The sequence below is a fragment of the Homo sapiens genome, chromosome 1, assembly GCF_000001405.40.
Source record: "Homo sapiens chromosome 1, GRCh38.p14 Primary Assembly".
NCBI classification, from domain to species: domain Eukaryota; kingdom Metazoa; phylum Chordata; class Mammalia; order Primates; family Hominidae; genus Homo; species Homo sapiens.
Genome location: NC_000001.11, coordinates 50,924,173 through 50,946,000, shown reverse-complemented (window position 1 = coordinate 50,946,000; position 21,828 = coordinate 50,924,173). Strand labels below are relative to the sequence as shown.

Sequence of the window (21,828 nt, the reverse complement as noted above, 5' to 3'; positions counted from 1 at the left end):
TAGAGGTTTCACCCTAAACCTGGTCCTGGTTTGCTGATGGTTTAGTCAAGCTGAAAGCTTACTGTGTCTGCTTGACTTCTAGGGCTGTTCAGCCTCTGTACTAGCTATGCAGACTGATAATGGATGTGATTGCTCTGTTCTCTGGACAGAACTCAAGGCTTTTCTTATAGCTCTGATTGGTACTCTTCTTGATGAAACTTGTTGTATTTCTACGGACCTTTGCCTGTTGCTAATGGCCTAGCTCTTTGGTCTGCCACTTGGAAAGCTATAGACTGGCAAGTTAAAGATAGCTCTTGTTAAAGCTGTGAACTATGAAAACAAATTATACTTGCTGATCAAACCATCTGGATCACTCATCTAGATGCCCTTAGTAAGGGCCTGTCTTCTGATGAAGCCCACTGGAATCAAGCTTCTGATTGAGTGTACACTGCCCAGAGCCATATTCATTATATTGGATATGACGAATATCAACTATCATAAACTGAACACAAAGCAAAGGACTGTGACACAGAGGGTGCCATTACATGCCAGACTTGTGCCTCCTGCTAAAAGTTTAACCGTTTGTCACATGATGAGAGAAGCCAGTGGCATGGGATGTGGCTCCTGCTTGCTCCTGGCAGATTGAATACATTGGACCTTTGACCTGCCTATTCAGCCAGCTTCCTATCAGTGGTGCCTCACTCCTGTTGCCATTTTTTTTTATGGTTTTGATGTTGCTGTTCTAGTCCAATCAGCTGGCTCTGGCCACGCCATCGTGACCCTAGAAACCAATCTGTGTTATACTTTTGGCTTTCTGGACTGTTTGCAGTCTAACAGTAGTGCACCTTTTATCGTACAAGCCACTCAGCAATGAACTGATTGTCAAGGTATTTGATGCTTCCATGCTCCCTGCCGTTCATAGGCATCTGGTATGTGGATAAACATTGAATATTGGAACAGCTTCTTCAAAAATTGACTCAACGATTTCTGATTCTACATCCTTCACCTCCTCTTGATCCACACACCTTACTTATTAGAAAGCCAGTTTTGCCACTGATTGTAGCTGTCCCCAGAAAAGGATTATCTCGTCTTGATCACTCCTGAGTAATGATCAGAATGGAAGGGGTGGGAGGTTATATAGCCCTATTTTGAGAATTCAGGATTCCACCCTGACCAATTTTAGGCATGATGTTTCTTTTTACCCCCTAGTAACAACCCAAGGCCAGCCTGGTTGGTATCTATCTTCTATGTGGCAGCTAGGCCAAAAGATGGCTTAAGGAATTCAGACTTAATTCTTGTTCAGTTACCTAGATTCTCTTGTTGAATTGATATTATTCTAGGTCATCAGGATAGTGACTATTTGGTTGAGTATACTGCTTGCTGAGTCTCTGTATGGTAGACAGTGGGGACCATAATGGGTTTCTGTAGGTTTTATGCAAATTCCCTTGACCCTCTTGCGCCTGACATTTCCAGATGAAAGGTCTGGGTGTTGTGAGTAAAAGGTGATTGGGAAAAAGGTGAAGTTATAGCTGCTGGAATGGGACATACTGATTTTGTAGCAATGGACAGAGAGCAGCAATCCTGACACTTGGTGGAGGGACCATCTTAGACCCCAGGAGGTTTAGAGAAGGTAAAGACATTAATGTTCATTTTCTTTCAGAATCGCCCTTGAAGCCTTCCTCATAAAGAAAACACTCTGGTGCAGCTCCTCCAAATTGTTGTTATCACATTAAATTTAGCTGACTGCTGGGTCTGCCATCCCTGCTGGGTCTGCCATCCCCCATGGCTCTGATCATGATTTGTCATTCCCTGTAAACTTACTGGGAGGTCTACTGGAAACAGCAGTGGTTGGCTCCAGGTCATGTACCTTCCATGCAAAACACCTGTGAACACTTCTTTACTCCCATCTCATCAACTTCACTCAGATTCTGTGGGGTAGATTTTGGCCACCTGGCTTATGGCCTGGACAAATGGGACAGATTGGACTGACTGCCATCATTCAGTCCTTTCAAAAACAAGGACTAGACTCACTGTTCTGAACTGAACTGAGTGGGAACCTTGTGCTGCGACACAATTTGACAATGCCTCCTTGACTGATGTAGGTTCTCCTTAGAAAGACCTAGTGATTCTGAACAACCCTCTCTTTTCCGATGTACCATGTGTGTCCTTGGGACTGTACTTCTTTTGTGTAACCCAGGTATTAGCTTATCTCCCTCCTAGAAACATGGACCTTCCTCTACCTTTGAATGTTTAAGGAAACACCATTAAATCTTGTTGCCTTTAGATAACTGTGTAGAGCTCTCTAAAATGAGGCCATGCTTGCTTGCTTGGGGAAACTTCCTGGAATGATAACTGATTAGTTATTTAGGCACACCCTGTGAAGAATTATCTTTATAAGGGGAGTCATTCAATTAGACTAGGCAGTGCAAAATTCATTCCTGACTTTTTAACTGAACTAACCAATGACAACACCTTGGCCCTGGAAGGCATTAAGGTCTGCCTCAATTCACTGACAAGAGTTATTATGGATGATAAAATTGCCCTGGACTTTTTTCTTGTGAGCCAAGGCAGAGTCTGTACAATTAACTAATATATCTTATTGTTCCTAGATTAATATCTTAGGCCAAAAGGAAAGATCAATACAGAAAGCTACTTGGCTTTCTGAGGTAGACCCTGATGGCTTATGGGATTTCATTATCTTATTTGGGTGTGGGATTCTAAGAAACATGGTTGAAATCAGTTCTGAAAATTGACCTCATCCTGCTGCTTGGAGTCTTGTTGATAGTAGCCTTAATTAAATGATGTATGATACCAATTGATCAGATTTAGTTCAAGCCTCTGTCAGTTGGATTAATCAGAGTGCCTGATAGTGGCATACTTGTGAGAAAATTTATCAGCTGCCAAGATGGTTAGAAATGAGGAGTGGATGTTGTTGGGACACAATTCTCTATGTCTCGTATGTTTCTGCACATCTTGTGAATAGGGTACTGATTGTTCTAGATTTTCTTCTCAAGGATGTTATATTGCTACCAGACTAGATAGTGTTTCCCCAGAGGGCTGGTTGCTTGCACCTTGAAGGTAAAGATACTTTCTCCCTCCACAGCAAAGGTCAGGTATGCTTACAGTCCATTATGAAAGATTCACATTCCCTAAGCACAGGGTTCCTCTCCCGTAACGCAATCCATGATGTATGGCCCACTCTGTGTCACCCTATGGGAAATTGGCCTTGGGAATTGGTGTAAAAATTGCTGATACTCTGTAAAAAAAAAAAAAACAACGACAACTAAAACTCTGGCTGCCGTTATTGTGAGGAATAAATTGCTTTGTCCTTGTCTTAGGAGTCCTGTATCTTCCTCCAATATCCATGAAATTGTAACAGGCCAGGTTGTTAGCTTGCCAGTAAGTAGGGTGGATTCTTAGCTTTTTTGTAGTTGTTACCACCCTGCAAGGTAGGTAATCCCTCATTTTGCATATTGATCTTAGAGATAGTAATTATAATAACTACAACTAACATTTACTGAACATTTAATTCCCTTCCCTTCCCTTTCCCCTCCCTTTCCCTCCCCTCCCCTTCCTTAAAATACAGTGTGGTTTACAACAAAGTTTACATGTGATGTGGTGCAGTGGCACCATCATGGCTTACTACACCTGGCTAATTTATGTGTACATATATATACACTTTTTGTAGAGATGGGGTTTCACTATGTTGCCCAGGCTGGTCTCAAACTCCCGGGCTCAAGCGATCTGCCCACTTCGGCCTCCCAAAGTATTGGCATTACAGGCATGAGCCACCGCATCTGGCCTGAACGTTTTCCTTCTGTTGGGCTCTGTGATAACTGTTTCATTTGCATTATCTCATCTAATTGTTATATGCCATCTAATTTGTAACAGCCATTGTTGTTATTTCCATATAAAGATGGAGAACATGGAGGGGTAAAGAGGTTAAGTAATTATCTAATGACAGATAGTAACAAGGGTGGGATTGGAACTCAGATTTGTTCGACTACAAAGTAAAATGTATGTATGACCTTATATATCCACATTTTCTCAAATGGGTATGCTAGGCAGTACTCAGCTGCAGTTTACTGGCATAATAAAAAAAGAAATACATGGTTTTAAAAAATATTAAAAATCATTTTCACAAAGTATGTATAAAATTTACATGAATTTTAAATAGAAAATTAGGTTTCAAAGACATTGTAAGGAGGTAGCTTGCTTCTCTTTGGGTCCAATGGGGGAACGTGTTTCCCTCCAATGAGGGAACATATTTCCCTTCTATTGTTATGCCCACAGTTGTGGAAAAATTATTAATAAGTACTGCACTTTACCACATTGTCTTTTATAAAGCAAATTCAAATGCATCCAAACTTGGCTCAGTGGGTCATGCCTATAATCCCAGCACTTTGGAGGCCAAGGTGGGAGGATCGATTGAGCCCAGGAATTCAGTATTGCCTGGGCAGTATAGTGAGATCTTGTCTCTACAAAAAACTTGAAAAATTAGCTGAGGACTGGCACGGTGGCTCATGCCTGTAATCTCAACAGTTTGGGAGGCTGAGATGGGTGGATCACTTGAGATCAGGAGTCCCAGACTGGCCTGGCCAACATGGTAAAACCCCATCTCTACCAAAAAAAGAAAATACAAAAATTAGCTGGGCGTGGTGGCTGGCACCTGTAGTCTCAGCTACTCGGGAGGCTGAGACACGAGAATCGCTTGAACCCAGGAGGCGGAGGTTGCAGTCAGCTGAGATCACACCACTGCACTCCAGCCTGGGCAACAGAGTGAGTGAGCCCTTGTCTCCAAAAACAAAACAAAACAAAACAAAAAGTTGAGCGTGGCAGCGCGCACCTGTAAGTCCCAGCTACTGAGGAAGCTGAGGTGGGAGGATTGCTTGAGGCTGGGAGATGGAGGTTGCAGCGAGTCAAGATTGTGCCACTGCACTCTAGCCTGAGTGACAGAGTGAGACTGTGTCTTAAAAAAAAAAAAAAAACCAAAAAAACCCCAAACTGCATCCAAGTATTTTTTGATCCCTTCTTTATCTTTATTCTTTAAAGGTGATTTTTAAAATTTATTGTAGCTTTATGGTATGCAAAAAGAGAGGACAGTGTAGTTTTGCTGGTGTCCCTGGATTGACCAAGGCTAATAGAGAGATGGAGAAACAAAATCTTCCCAAAAAATGAGAGCTTATTGACTGCTTATCTTCAAGTTGTGTGTGACAATGGTTGCTACTGAGATTACGTAGTTACTAGTATTTTTACGTCACTTTTACGTTCATCAGTGCCTGTACATTACTTTCATTTTTAAAATTCTTTCTTGAAAGTACTGAAAGTACCTGTAAATAATTATGTTAGTATAAATCTATATCAATGCAAAGTAATTTGCTTAATTTTTCTGGGCATACTGTCAGTTTTGGGTATATTCCCAACGTCCTAGTAGTAGAACTTGAAACAAAAATAATGGTGTAGACCAGGCATGTTGGCTCATGCCTATAATCCCAGCACTTTGGGAGGCAGAGGCAGAATTGCTTGAGACCACGTGTTTGATAACAGCTTAGACGACATATTGAGACCTCATCTCTACAAAACAAATGAACAACAGAAACATAATGGTATAGTGGCAAGTTGATACATGTGAACTTTGTTGTAAACTGCATTGTATTTTAGAAGAGTAAAATAATGCTTACTGATTACTTTGGAATAATATAGTAAAAATACTCTGCCAATGCTGACTGGATAGATATTTGATGATATGAAATAACTTTTTTTTAAATCTGGTAATGTACTTACTGGGTTTTAAGAAAAGGAGTCCTGTGGCTGGGCATGGTGGCTCGACGCCTGTAATCCCAGCACCTTGGGGTGCCGAAGTGGGCAGATTGCTTGAGCTCAGGAGTTTGAGACCAGCCTAGGCAACATGGTAAAACTCCATCTCTACAAAAAAATACAAAAATTAGCCAGATGTGGTGGTACGTGCCTGTAGTCCCAGCTACTCGGGAGGCTGAGGCACGAGAATTACTTGAACCCATGAGACAGTGGTTGCAGTGAGCTGAGATCATGCCACTGCACTCCAGCCTGGATGACAGAGTGAGACCTTGTCTTAAAGAAAAAAACAAGAAAATAAAAAAGTACTTTTATTGACATACTGTAATACTTATGGGTGAAATGATATATCTAGAATTTACTTCAAAATGACCTTCAATAAATGTGATTCACCACATAAACAGAATTAAAAGCAAAAACCATATGATCATCTCAATAGATGCAGAAAAAGCTTTCAATAAAATCTAACATCCTTTCATGATAAAAACCCTCCACAGACTAGGCATGGAAGGAACATACCTTGAAGTAATAACAGCCATCTATGATGAACCCACAGCCAACATCATACTTAATGGGCAAAAGCTGGGTCCATTCCCCTTGAGAACTGGGACAAGATGAAGATGCCTACTCTCACCACTCCTGTTCATCATAGTACTGGTCATAGTACATAGTCCTAGCCAGAGCAGGCATTCAAATAGGGAATGAAAAAGTCAAACTATACCTAGAAAACCCTAAGGACTCTGCCAAAAGCTCCTAGAACTGTTAAACAATTTTAGCAAGGTTTCAGGATATAAAATCAGTGTACAAAAATCCAGTAGCATTTCTATACACCAGTAACGCCCAGGCTTAGAGTCAAATCAAGAGCACAATCCCATTTACAATAGCCACAAAGAATATGAAATACCTATGAATACAGTTAACCAAGGACGTGAAAATCTCTACAAGGAGAACTACAAAACACTGTTGAAAGAAATCAAAGTTGAAACAAATGAATGAAAAAACATTTCATGCTTATGCATTGGAAGAATGAATAGCATTAAAATGGCCATACTCTCCAGAGCAATTTATACATTCAGTGCTATTCCTATCAAACTACCAAGATTATTTTTAACAAAACTAAAAAAACTATTCTAAAATTCACATGGAAGCAAAAATGAGCCCAAATAGCCAAAGCATTCCTAAGCAAAAAGAACAAAGTGGGAGGCATTATACCACCCAACTTCAAAGTATACTATAAGGCTATAGAGACCAAAACAGCATGGTACTGGTACAAAAACAGACACATAGACCAATGGAACAGAATAGAAAACTCAGAAATAAAAGTTGCACTTCTACAACTGATATTTGACAAGGCTGACAAAAACAATGAGGAGAGGACCCCTTATTCAATAAATGGTGCTAGGATAACTAGCTGTATGCAGAAGGATGAAACTAGACCCTTACCTTTCACCATATATGAGAATTAACTCAAGATGGATTAAAGATTTAAATGAAAGACCTCAAACCAGGAAAATCCTAGTAGAAGAAAACCCAGGAAATATCCTTGATATTGGCCTTCGCAAAGAATTTTTGGTTAAGTCCCCAAAAGTAATTGCAACCAAAACAAAAATTGACAAGTGGGACATGATTAAACTAAAGAGCTTCTGCACAGCAAAAGAAACTATCAACAGTGTAAACAGACAACCTACAGAATGGGAGAAAATATTTGCAAGTCTATGCAGATTGTGTATGTTTATAGCAGAGCCATAGCATTTCCAGGGGATGGATCCTGGGGGTACCCTGAGTTAATAATGGATACAGAGCCATCTTTTGATGAAAGGGTACTGGTGACATACATAGCTGGTCCTAGGACTCAGTTTCATATACATTCCTACTGAGTTTTTAGGAGACCTTTATGAAGGTAGTGGCAAGGAGCTCCCTCCTGGCCAGGGAACGTCTGTCTTGCAGTTGCTATTTGTTACCCATGGGAAATGTGTGAAACTGTAGAGTCCTGGCTTTTAGTTATTTTCCACAATTGCTATAGTAATGTCAGATAGGATGTTCTGAGCTTGCCTAACCAGACATTTACTCAGAATATTCTTAGTGGTATGGTTGGCATTGTGGTCAGAGAAGACAGATGGGTATATCATGGAGTTTTGTCAGTATAAGCGATTGTGCCTAATAAAAAAACAGTGTCTTTAATTCTTACTGCTTTAAATCAGTATGTACTGAGGGTATACCAGGCATTAATTTATTCAACAGATATTTAAATGACCTCACATGTCTTGTGATGCAAGGATGTAAGGAATACAGAGAAATACATATTACCCGACATGGTTTTTATTCATATTTTCACTCACTTGACAAAGATTTTTCGATTATCTGCTCTGTGGCAGGCATTATACTAGGTACAGGTGAATAGGGATTAGGAAGAGGAAGAAGAGATACAAAAATTAAGATAGGGGCATTTTTCTTAAAATCCTTGTAAATAATTGTAGTGCAGAATAACAATAAAGGAATATAGAACTTGGCTCCAGTGGTTAAAATGGGTATACTCATGTAGTACTTTAAACTAATAATATTAGATATGTCATAGGGCAAAATACAACTATCTATCAGATGGTTGGTAAAACCATGAGAATCATATGGTACAAAGTCCCAGGGCTGAAATCCCTTCTGTATCTTTCCTCATGTCCATCTTTTGCTTGAAAATTTTGGTAATTAGGGGATCACTACTTTGTAAGGCAGCTAATAAAATTTTACCTCTTTGTAACTTACTGATTTACTCTGGACCTATACAGAATCTGCGCCCCGCCCCACCCCACCATATGAAGGCAACTATGTTAGCATTAACTCTTATCTAAGTCCTAATTTTTCAGTTCTTTCCACCACTCTTACTACTTAGCTCCCCTCTGGATGTGCTTGTCTGTCAATGAAACACTTCAAAAGAAGAGATCAAGAGTCAATACAATATTCCAAAAGAGATCTGGAATACAGTAGAGTGGACTTTCACCTAGTTGTGCACATTGTATTATTATTAATGCACAATTAATAGTAATACCTTAAAATTTTGACACATATTGAGTGGGTGGTAACATAAAGATCCCACCTGAGTAAGGCATACCTCCCTCATCCTAAATTCAATCATTTGAATTTCTCCAGCTCAATGAAGAACTTTGTCAACTTGAATCTTTCTACCTGCTCTTAAATTCCTACAGAGATGATTCTCTGTAGGAATTTGCTCCATTGGTTTTCTCCTACATTTCCTTTGGCTTCTGCATCTCTGCTTCGTCTGACTCCCTCTTCTCAGCCTATTTCAGGTTTAAAAATTTGCCAAGTTTCTCCCAGTGTAAAAATACCTTTCATTGATCCTATGTTTTATTCTAGATGATTCCATGTTTCTCTCTCCTTCCCCTCATATTTCTTCTCTTCAGCATTAATGTACATGAAGAGTCTGTCCTGTCCCCTTTTCCTTTCCACTCTACCGCATCCCATGTGGTTTCCAAATAATCATCCTTTCCTTGGTTTTCACTATCCATTAAATATAAGCTGCTAAGTCCAAAAGCAGCAGCCTCATTTCTGTCCTCCTTTGAATTTCATATTAAATTGCTTACATAGAATGAAGGTCGAGTTCACTGGCAGGCTAACAAAGCTCCTTGTAATTTGGCCTTATATGCCCTATGCCTTCTGCTGTAGTAATACTTTGATGCTTGTAATTTTCTTGAACTTACGTCATTTTGTGTCTCTGCTTTTGTCAGTTCTCCTGACTCTTAGTTTTGCCTGACTCTGTCTTCATAGACTTGTGTGTAGGCATTATTATCTCCTGTGAAGTCTTCTCTGACAGTTACTTACTCCCTCCTCTGTATTTCTCATTCTTCTTCTTTTTTAAAAAAATAGATCTGCAATACCCATATGTATTTCTCATTCCTATATATCCATCTGTCATTATAGCTATCACATTACTTTGTAAATATCTGTTTGTCTTTCTTACTAATTTGTGAGTTCTTTACAGCCAGGAAGTATATGTTACTTGTTTTGCTATTTCTGGTACCTGGCATGCTTCCTGGCACATAGTACGTTCTCACTGAATATTAAATTGAGCTGAACTAGTTAATTTTGAGCTTGTTGAAATAAGAAGGAAAAGATAATGGTTGGGTCTTTGGATGTTTATTTTGTCATCAGAATGCAGCTGTTTTAGCTTTCTGTCATTTGCATATGTAAATGGACATTAGTTTGTTAGTTAACACTGTCTGAGTGCCCTGAGGTTTGGGACTGTGTCATGTTCATCTCAGTATTACTAGTACCTAGTACATTGCCTAGGAAATTTCAGGATGTCAGTACTTATTAAAATGGGGCAAATGAAGTTGAAATCAGATGAAAACATTGATGCTGCAAATATACCACATCACTAGTAGCGTTCATAATTACTTCTATGTGTTAGCTTTAAGAATAAATCTGGCTGGACGTAGTAGCTCATGCCCGTAATCCCAGCACTTTGGGAGGCTGAGGCAGGAAGATCCCTTGAGGTCAGGAGTTCGAGTCAGCCTGGCCAACATGGTGAAACCCCATCTCTAGTAAAAATACAAAAATTAGCTGGGGGCGTGGTGGTGGGTGCCTATAATCCCAGCTACCTGGGAGGCTGAGGCATGAGAATTGCTTGAACCTGGGAGGCAGAGGTTGCAGTGAGCTGATACCCTGCTACTGCACTCTAGTCTGGGTGACAAAATGAGACTCCATCTCAAAAAAAAAAAAAAGAGAGAGTAAATCAGGCCAGGGGTGATGACTCATGCCTGTAAGCCCAGCACTTTGGGAGGCCGAGGCAGGAGTTTGAGACCAGCCTGGGAAATATATGTTATATTCTTGACATGCTAGTCAAGTTATCTATCAAAAAATATTTTGGCATGAACTATTCATAATGAATTCATGGTGATTTGTAATGATCATCCTTCCTAGAAAAATATGTATAGGCCAACATCTTTATTAATTATAAAATTTTGGCATTAATTGATGGCAGCATACAAAGTTTGTAGTTATCTTAATTTTTGTTTTTCTCTCCTTTTGAAATTCTACCATTTCTCCTATTTAAAACAATTCTCAAATATTTCTTGTTGGTTATATGGATCTTATTGCCACATTTTTCAATACCTTTGCAGTTAGTTGGTGTGAGACATAAATATACAGATTTAAGAAGCTTAGTGAATACCAAGTAGGTTTAATGCAAGGAAAATCACATGTAGGCACATCATAATCAAATTGCTAAAAACCAAAGATAAAGAGAAAAATCTTTAAAACATCCAGAGGAGGGGGAAAAACATTCATGAATAGAACAGTGACAAGAGTGATAGCTAATGTCTAATCAGAAACAGTGGAATACAGAGGATAATGGAATAATATCTTTAAAGTGTTGAAAGAAAAAAAATCAACTAGAATTTTATATTCAGCAAAATTATCCTTCAAAACCAAAAGTGAAGACTTTAAAATTTTTTCAGTCACTTATTTATTATTATTTTTGAAACTCACTGTGTCACCCAGGCTGGAGTGCAGTGGTGTGAACATGGCTTATTGCAGCCTTGATTTCCTGGGCTCATGTGATCCTTCTGTCTCAGCCTCTTGTGTAGCTGAGACCACAGGTGTGCACCACCATGCTTGGCTAATTTTTTAATTTTTTTGTAGAGACGGGGTCTCACTTTGTTGCCCAGGCTGGTCTCAAACTTCTGGGCTCAAGTGATCCTCCTGCCTTGGCCTCCCAAAGTGCTAGAATTATAGGCATGAGCCACCATACCTGGCCAAGACAGTGTTATATGATCAAATATGAGAAGATCTGTTGCCCACAGACCTGCATATTATAAGAAATTATAAAGAAATTTCTTTGGGTTGTAGAGGAATGGTATCAGATGGAAATATGGATCTACAGAAGACATGAAGAACACTGAAAATTTCATATATATGGGTAAGTATTTAAAAAATTATGTGGAAGTAAAATATGTGACAACAGTAGCAGAAAGGAAAGAAGTATTGTAAGGTTCTTACATTATATGGGGTGCGGTAATATTAACTCAAGGTAAACTGATAAGTTCTGGAGGGATATTGTAATTCTGAGAACAACCACTAATAAATAGGAGAAATATAGTTAAAAAGCTAATAGAAGAGATAAAATAGATTACTAAAAATATGCTGATATGGTTTGGCTGTGTCCCTACCCAAATCTCAACTTGAATTGTATCTCCCAGAAGTCCCACGTGTTGTGGGAGGGACCCAGGAGGAGATAAATGAATCATGGGGCCTGGTCTTTCCCTTGCTATTCTCGTGATAGTGAATAAGTCTCACAAGATCTGATGGGTTTATCAGGGGTTTCCACTTTTGCTTCCTTCTCATTTTTCTCTTGCCGTTGCCATGTAAAACTTCTGTCATGATTCTCAATGATTCTGAGGTCTCCCCAGCCATGTGGAACTGTAAATCGAATTAAACCTCTCTTTGTTCCCTGTTTTGGATGTGTCTGTATCAGCAGCATGAAAACAAACTAATACAGTAAATTGATATCAGTACAGTGGGGCGTTGCCGAAAAGGTACTGGAAAATTTGGATGCGACGTTGGAACTGGGTAACAGGCAGAGGTTGAAACAGTTTGGAGGGCTCAGAAGAAGGCAGGAAAATATGGGAAAGTTTGGAACCTCCTAGAGACTTGTCGAATGGCTTTGACAAAAATACTATTAGTGATATGAACAATAAGGTCCAGGCTGAGGTGGTCTCAGATGGAGATGAGGAACTTGTTGGCAACTGGAGCAAAGGTGACTCTTGTTATGTTTTAAGCAAAGAGACTGGTGGCATTGTGCCCCTGCCCTAAAGATTTGTGGAACTTTGAACTTGAGGGAGATGATTTAGGGTATCTGGCAGAAAACACTTCTAAGCAGCAAGGCATTCAAAAGGTGACTTGGGTACTGTTAAAAGCACTCCATTTTAAAAGGACAAAAGAGCATAAAAGTTCAGAAAATTTGCAGCCTGACGCAGTAGAAAAGACCCATTTTTTGAGGAGAAATTCAAGTTGGCTGCAGAAATTTGCATAAGTAGCAAGGAGCCTAATGTTACCTGGGGAAAATGTCTCCAGGTCATGTCAGAGACTTTCACAGCAGCCCCTCTCATCATAGGCACGGAGGCCCAGGAGGAAAAGTGGTTTTGTGGGCCGGACCCAGGAGTACTGTGTGCAGCCTAGGAACTTGGTGCCCTGTGTCCCAGCCGCTCCAGCCATGGCTGAAATGGGCCAACATAGAGCTTGGGCTATGGCTTGAGAGGGTAGAAGCCCCAAGCCTTGGCAGCTTCCACATGGTGTTGAGCCTCCGGGTGCACAGAAGTCAAGAATTGAGGTTTGAGAACTTCTGCCTCGATTTCAGAAGATGTACGGAAATGCCTGGATACCCTGGCAAAAGTTTGCTGCAGGGGTGGGGCTCTCGTGGAGAACCTTTGCTAGGGCAGTGGGGAAGGGAAATGTGGGGTCAGAGCCTCCACACAGAGTCCCTGCTAGGTCACTGCCTAGTGGAGCTGTGAGAAGAGGGCCACCATCCTCCAGATCCCAGAATGGCAGATCCACCAACAGCTTCACCCTGTGCCTGGAAAAGCTGCAGACACTCAGTGCCAGCCTGTGAAAGCACCTAGAAGGGAGGCTGTACCCTGCAAAGCCACAGGCGCGGAGCTGCCCAAGACCATGGGAACCCACCTTTTGCATCCGTGTGACCTGAATGTGAGACCTGGAGTCAAAGGAGATCATTTTGGCGCTTTAAAATTTAACTGCCCCGCTGGATTTCACACTTGAATGGGCCCTGTAACCCCTTTGTTTTGGCTAATTTCTCCCATGTAGAATGGCTGTGTTTACCCAATACCTGTACCCTCATTTTATCTGGGAAATAACTAGCTTGCTTTTGATTTTAGAGGCTCATAGGTGGAAGGGACTTGCCTTGTCTCAGATGAGACTTTGGACTGTGGACTTTTGGGTTAATGCTGAAATGAGTTACGGCTTTGGGGGACTATTGGGAAGGCATGATTGGTTTTGACATGTGAGGACATGAGATTTGGAGGGGCCATGGGTGGAATGATATGGTTGGCTGTGTCCCCATCCAAATCTCAACTTGAATTTTCGTCTCCCAGAATTGCCACATGTTGTGGGAGGGACCCGGGGGGAGGTAATTGAATCATGGGAGTCAGTCTTTCATGTGCTATTATTATTATTATTATTCCCAGAATTGCCACATGTTGTGGGAGGGACCTGGGGGGAGGTAATTGAATCATGGGAGTCAGTCTTTCATGTGCTATTATTATTATTATTATTATTATTATTATTATTATTATTTATTTATTTATTTTTGAGACAGAGTCTTGCTCTGTCACCCAGGCTGGAGTGCAGTGGCACGATCTCGGCTTACTTCAAGCTCTGCCTCCCTGGTTCACGCCATTCTGCTTCAGCCTCCTGAGTAGCTGGGACTACAGGCGCCTGCCTCTATGCCTGGCTAATTTTTTTGTTGTTGTTGTATTTTTAGTAGAGATGGGGTTTCACTGTGTTAGCTAGGATGGTCTCAACCTGCTGATCTCGTGATCCACCCGCCTCAGCCTCCTAAAGTGCTGGGATTACAGGTGTGAGTCACTGCGCCCACCCACGTGCTATTCTTGTGATAGTGAATAAGTCTCTTGAGATCTGATAGGTTTATCAGGGATTTCTGCTTTTGCTTCTTCCTCATTTTTCTCTCACTGCCACCATGTAAGAAGTGCCTTTCACCTCCTGTCATGATTCTGAGGCTTCCCCAGCTATGTGGAACTGTAAGTCCAATTAAACCTCTTTTTGTTTCCAGTTTTGGGTGTGTCTTTATCAGCAGCGTGAAAACAAACTAATACATATGCTCAACCCTAAAGAATGCAGATAAGAAAGTATAACAATAAGAAAGTATAAACAATGCAGATAAGAAACTATAACAATAAGAAAAACAATTGGAACAGATTGAAAACAAAATAAAAGAACCAAGATAGTAAACTGAGAACCAAGATAGTAAACTTACAGTAAACTACTGCCATATCAGTAATTACATTAAATGTAAATAGGGTAAATAGTAATCAAAAGGTAGAGACCATCAGGTTGGATGAAAATTAAATATTGATCTATATTTCGTATAAGAGAAGCATCTGGAATATAAAGATGCTTCTCTAGGTTGTAAATAAAAGGATGGACAAACAATATATCATGTAGACACTAATCATAACAAATCTGCTGTAATTAATTAATAATGTTAGACTAAGACTTCAAGTTAAGGAGTATTACTAAAAATAAAGAAGTTCTGGCACACAGTTTTTCTGCTTTCTAACCCTAGTTAAGTTATATTGCCTTCTTTAGTTTTCTTATTGTAAAATTGGGCTATTTGGTGCTTTACCTACTTTTTTTTCTTTTTTGAGACGGAGTCTTGCTGTCTCCCAGGCTGGAGTGCAGTGGCACGATCTCGGCTCATTGCAAGCTCCACCTCCCGAGTAGCTGGGACTACAGGCACCCGCCACCATGCCTGGCTAATTTTTTGTATTTTTAGTAGAGACGGGGTTTCACTGTGTTAGCCAGGATGGTCTCGATCTCCTGACCTCGTGATCCACCCGCCTTGGCCTCCCAAAGTGCTGGGATTACAGGCTTGAGCCACTGTGCCTGGCCACCTGCATTATTATTAATCCTTACAGCAGCTTTGCAAGATTGTTGTTATTACCATTGTATGAGTGAGAACACTGAGACTCAGAGAGGTTAATAACTAAAGTCACAGGGCTAGTTAAATGGTAAAACTGCATTTGAAGCTAGTTGTGCTTTGAGTCAGAGCTTTTTTTCCACTACACATTGTTTCCTGCCAATATACCTTCCTGAATAGTACTGTACCCTAAACTTTGCTGCTGTATAAACACACCTACTTGGAAGAACTCTCCTGAGGTCACCTGCTTAGCTCATTATGCCCTTTTGGAATCCATTCTTCTTTAAAACAAAAGAACCAAGATGTATTAAAATGTCATTAACAGGCTGTAATTGAGAATTTCCCACTTTGGCATTATGATTTTACTACTTATCAGTACATTTCAAAGATATCCCTCTCTTGAAATGCTTTGTTAACTACACCCCCAGATTACCCTAAATAAATGTTAATTTGCTAACATTTTGGTTAAGCTAAATGAAAAAAATGAGTGGCATAGATCATTGGAGTCTACTTGGAAAAAAGAAGGTATTTGCATCTTGGTGCTTAATTCTTTATGCGATAAATTGCCTAATATATGTTATTTGCTTTTTAAGAGTTGTAGACTGTAAATTACTGACAATTTGTATAGCGTTACATTATATTTGTAGCTTCTGGTAAGACAGAATACTTATAAGTTATAGCTTATAATAATTATAAAAAAGCTAAGTATGGTTTGTGTTCCTTTAAATAATCTTATAAATCTTTAGATGTACTTTGTTACCTGAATAATTGTGAATCGTGGGGGCAGGAGCCACATCTTTTTCCCACTATATTTCCAGACCCTAACACTATGCCTGGCACATGATAGACATTCAATGAATATTTTTGGCAGTTTTATTATTTCCTGAAAGTCTTGTGTGAAAACTAGCATGTAATGAAATTCCCAAGATGTGTTAAATGTTTGCTCCCTCTTGTGGATAGAAAAGATAATGTAAGCTCTTACAATGAATCTATTCTCTAGTTTTTGTTACCAAAAGATATAATATAAACAGTGTGTAAAATTTAGGGAAATTTTTATTTTTTTGAAGGGATCTGAATACAATTTTATCAACCAAAGATCTTTTAGTTCACATATATTCATAAAACATGCATTAATTCTTGCTCAAGTATCATTTTTTAAAACTATCCAGGATAAAATTTATATACTAGTACTCAATGTAGAACTTAAATAGCACTGTTTTGGGAGCCCACTCCTTCTGCTTTCCTATGTATAAATTGTATGAATGATGAAAGAACTTTCTGTTTTAATTCTGTTAATAAAACTCTATTAAATATTGTGGGATATACTTTGAGAGTATTATTAAACACATCATTTCCTAATAATTCAAAACATTTTTTATTTTGATTAAAAAAAGAATCATTTTGCTAGCCTTCCCAGTTTTTTTTTCTTTTCTTTCTTTTTTTTTTTTTTTTTTGAGACAGTGTCTTGCTATGTCACCCAGGCTGGGGTACAGTGGTATGATCTTGGCTCACTGCAACCTGTGCCTCCTGAGCTCAAGCAATCCTCCCATGCAGCTGGCACCACAGATGCACGCCACCATGCCTGGGTATTTCTTTGGATGTTTAATAGAGATGGGGTTTCACCGTGTTGGCCAGGCTGGTCTCGATCCCCTGAGCTCAGCTTAGCCTCCCAAAGTGCTGGGATTACAGGCATGCGCCACTGTGCCTGGCCAGCCTTCCCTAGTTTTTTTTTTTTTTTTTTTTGAGGTGGAGTCTCGCACTGTTGCCTGGGCTGGAGTCCAATGGCGTGATTTCGGTTCAGTGCAACCTCCACCTCCCAGGTTCAAGCGATTCTCTTGCCTCAGCCTCTCGAGTAGTTGGGATTACAGGCGCCCGCCATCATGCTCGGCTGATACTTTGTATTTTTAGTAGAGATGGGGTTTCACTATGTTGGCCAGGCTGGTCTCGAACTCTTGACCTTGTGATCCGCCCACCTTGATCTCCCAAAGTGCTGGGATTACAGGCATGAGCCACTGCGCCTGGCCGCCTTCCTCAGTTTTTAAATACAGAACACCTATTTTCTTTTAAGTGTGATATTTTTATTCTAAAGAATTAATGCCGCTGAGACTAAAAGCAGCTGGGCTTTGGAAATGCTTTGACATGTAGAATAAATCTTTTAAACAAAGGTATAGATTCTTGACGTTCTTTTCTCCATATACTCAAGAGACTTTCATATTACTTTCTTAGACTTTTCCATTCTATTATTTATAGTAGAAGTTGACTTTCATTTTGAGGCCACTTTTGAAATAGAACCAATATTTTTGCCATTTCAGAAAAATTGTCGTCTGTGTGCCAAAGACAGAGAGCATGCAGTAAAAGTGCACCATAGCATGGATGTTGGACTCAAGCAGGGCTCACTTACTAGGCAGGTGACTTGTTCCTGAAAACCAGTCTGGCTGTGAACATCATCCAGATCCTCACCTCAGCAAAATCACAGTCTGTCATTAACTGAAGCAAATGAAAATTCTAAACTTTATGAGGGCATAATACTCAGCAAAGAACACAAATCCTAACAGTATAGTTTGAATTTGCACAACATGAACACATCCATATAAACAACTCTTTGGTTAAAAGAACAGAATATGTAACGAGTAGAAAAAAGAAAAAGAGGAGATTAGGGCACATAGAGACACAAGGAAGAACAATGTGAACACAGGGAGGAGACAGCCATCAACAAGCCAAGAAGAGAGGCCCCAGAAGACACGCAAACTGCTGACACCTTGATATTGGATTTCTAGTCTCAGAATTGTAAGAAAAAAAATTTGTTTAAACAAATGAAAAAGAAGAATATAATCAGAGTTCCAGAAGCCTCCTTCTTCCATTCAATTACCCCTCACCTTTCAGCATAACTTAGTACATTGACTTCTGACATTACACATATGTTAGTTTTGCCAGTTTTAAAACTTTATGTATATGAAACCACACAGTAAGCTTTTATTTTTTTTGGAGACAGGGTCTCACTCTGCCGCCCAGGCAGAGTGCCATCTTGGCTCACTGCAACCTCAGCCTCCCAAGTAGCTGGGACTACAGGCACATGCCACCATGCCCGGCTCATTTTTTGTCATTTTAGTAGAAACGGGGTTTCAACATGTTGGCTAGGCTGGTCTCGAACTCCTGACCTCAAGTGACCCACCCGCCTCGGCCTCCCAAAGTGCTGGGATTACAGGTGTGAGCCACCACGCTTGGTCCCCATGCAGTAAGCTTTAAAAAAAAAATTCTGGTAAAATATACATAACATAAAATTTACCCTTTTTGCCATTTTAAACATACAGTTCAGTGGTATTAAGTACCCTCACATTGTTATGTGGCATCACCACCACTCATCTCTAGAACGTTTTCATCTTCCCAAACTCTATTGATTAAACGTTAACTCCCTATTCCCCTTTCTGCTTCTAAACATTAACTCCCCATTCCCCTTTCTGCTTCTGTGAGTTTGAGTACTTATAGACGTGGAATTATTTAGTGTTTGTTCTTTTATGTCTGGCTTGTTTCACTTAACATAGTATTTTTAAGTTACATCCGTTTTATAGCATGTGTCAGAATTTCTTGCCTTTTTAAGGAGCAACAATACTCTGTTGTGTGAACATACTACATGTTCTTTATTTATGGATGGACATTTGAGTTGTTTATACATTTTGGATATTGTCAACAATGGTACTATGAACATGGGTGGATAAATATGTCTTGACTCCTTGCTTCCTTAAAAGTCTTTTGGGTACATAACCACAAGTGCAGTTACTGGATCATACGGTAATTTTTTCCCTTGTATTTTTAGTTTACATGTAATAATTGTGTATACTTATGGGATACAACTGATGTTTTCATAAGAATATGCAATGTGTAGTGATCAAATCAGAGTAATTAGCATATCCTTCACCTTAAACTTTTTTTTTTTGTTGAGAACATTTAAAGTCTGCTTTTTTATCTTTTTGAAAATATACAATAAATTATAGTTAACCATGTCACCCCACAGCGCTGTAGAACACCAGAACTCATTCCTCCTATCTAGCTGTAATTTTATATGTTAACCAGGTTCTCCCCATTCTCCCTCTCACTGCCCTTCCCAGTCTCCAATATCTACAGTTGTATACTCTAATTCCATGAGCTCAGAATTCTTTTTAGCTCCTACATATGACTGAGAGCATGTATTTATCTTTCTGTGCCTTATTTAGTTTAACATAGTATCCTCCAGGCTTATCCATGTTGCTGCAAGTGATAGGATTTCATTATTTTTCTTTGTAGTTTTGTTTGTTTGTTTGTTTTTTATGTTTAGAGACAGGATCTTTCTGTTGCCCAGGCTGGAGTGCAGTAGTGTGATCATATGCTTCAGTAATGTTAAACTCTGGGGCTTAAGCGATCCTCCCCCCTCAGTCTCCCGAGTAACTGGGATTACAAGCATGTATCACCACATCTGGCTAACTTGTTTTACTTTTTATAGAGATGGGGTATTGCTATGTTACCCAGCCTGGTCTTCAACTCCTGGCCTTAAGCGACCCTCCTGCCTCAGCCTCCCAAATCACTGGGATTACGTGCATGAGGCACACTACATCTGGCCCAATTCCATTCTTTTTCATGGAGGAATAGTATTCTATTGTGTATATAAACCACATTTTTCTTTATCCATTTGCCTGTTGATGGACATTTAGGCTGACTCCATATCTGGGCTATTATGAATAGTGCTGCAATAAACATGGATGTATAGGTATCCTTTTGATGTTGATTTCCTTTCCTTTGGATAAATACCCAGTAGTGTGATTGCTGTATCATATAGTAGTTCTATTTTTAGTTTTTTGAGAAAGTGCAACACTGTTTTTTATAGTGACTATACTAATTTATATTCCCACCAACAGTGTATGAGTTCCCTTTTCTCTGCATCCTTGCCAGCATTTGTAATTTTTTGTCTTTGATAATAGCCATTCTGAGCGGGGTGAGATAATATTTGTTGGCCATTTCTATGTCTTCGTTTGAGAAATGTCTGTTCAGATCTTTGACCCACTTTGTAGTAGTGGGATTTTTTTTTTTTTGGTGCTAAGTTTGAATTCCTTGTATATTCTGGTTGTTAGTTCTTTGTTAGTCAAACGATTTGTAAGTATTTTCCTATCTACAGGTTATCTCTTAACTGTGTTGATTGTTTCTTTTACCGTGGAGAAGCCTTTTAGTTTAGTACAGTCCCATTTGTCTATTCTTGTTGTCTGTGTTTTTGTCCTGACGTGATTCCACCCAGCAGTTTTATAGTTTTGAGTCTTACATTTAAGTCTTTAATCCATTTTGAGTTAATTTTTGTATGTAGTGATAGATAGGGGTCTAGTTTCATTCCTCTGCATATGACTATCCATTTTTCTTAGCACCATTTATTGAAGAGACTGTTGTTTTCCCAATGTGTATTCTTAGCACTTTTGCTGAGTATCAGTTGGCTAAAAATATGTGGATTTATTAATATTTTTAATTTCAAGGTTCTCTGTTCTGTTGGTCTATGTATCTGTTTTGTTTTGTTATGTTTTTTGAGATGGAGTTTCATTCTTGTCACCCAGGCTGGAGTGCAATGGCACGATCTCAGCTCACTGCAGCCTCCGCCTCCTGGGTTCAAGTAATTCACCTGCCTTAGCCTTCCGAGTAGCTGAGATTACAGGTGCCCAACACCACACCCAGCTAATTTTTGTATTTTTTGGAGAGACAGGGTTTCATCATGTTGGCCAGGCTGGTCTTGAACTCTTGAACTCAGGTGATCCACCCACCTCAGCCTCCCAAAGTGCTGGGTTTACAGGCGTGAGCCACTGTGCCTAGCCTATGTATCTTTTATTATACCAATACTATGCTGTTTTGGTTACTATAGCTCTGCTGTATATTTTGAAGTCAGCTTTGTTCTTTTTTTCTGATTATTGCTTTGGCTATTCAGGGTCTATTGTGCTTCTATATGAACTTAAGGATTGCTTTTTCTATTTCTGTAAAGAATGTCCTTGGTATTTTATAGAGATGATGCTGTACCTGTAGATTGCTTTGGGTAGTATGGTCATTTTAACAATATTAATTCTTCTAATCAATGAGTATGGGATGCCTTTGTTTGTGTTCTCTTCAATCTCTTTTATTAGTGTTTTGTAATTTTCATTGCAGAGGTCTTTTACCTTCTTGATTAAATTGATTCCTAGGTTGTTGTTGTTTTTGATAGCTATTGTAAATGGGATTGGTTTCTTGTTTTTTTTTTTTCAAATTGTTCCTTTTTGGTGTGTAGAAGTACTGCCGATTTTTGTTTATTTTGTGTCTTGCAACTTCACTGAGTTTGTTTATCATTATCAGTTCTGAGTTTTTTGGTGAAG

General features: G+C 39.5%; 1 protein-coding gene across 3 annotated transcripts in view; it reads left to right on the top strand.

Annotated features, from left to right (window-relative positions):
* The window catches only part of FAF1 (Fas associated factor 1), a 523,240-nt gene that overhangs the window by 14,267 nt on the left and 487,145 nt on the right, over nt 1-21,828 (top strand). The window contains exon 2 of one of the 3 annotated variants that reach the window (XM_047442745.1): nt 11,653-11,722. The exons of the other annotated variants lie outside the window; for them this stretch is intronic. The gene's annotated coding sequence lies outside the window, so the exon portion shown is untranslated. The remainder of the gene's footprint in view (nt 1-11,652; nt 11,723-21,828) is intronic. 3 annotated transcript variants of the gene reach the window in all.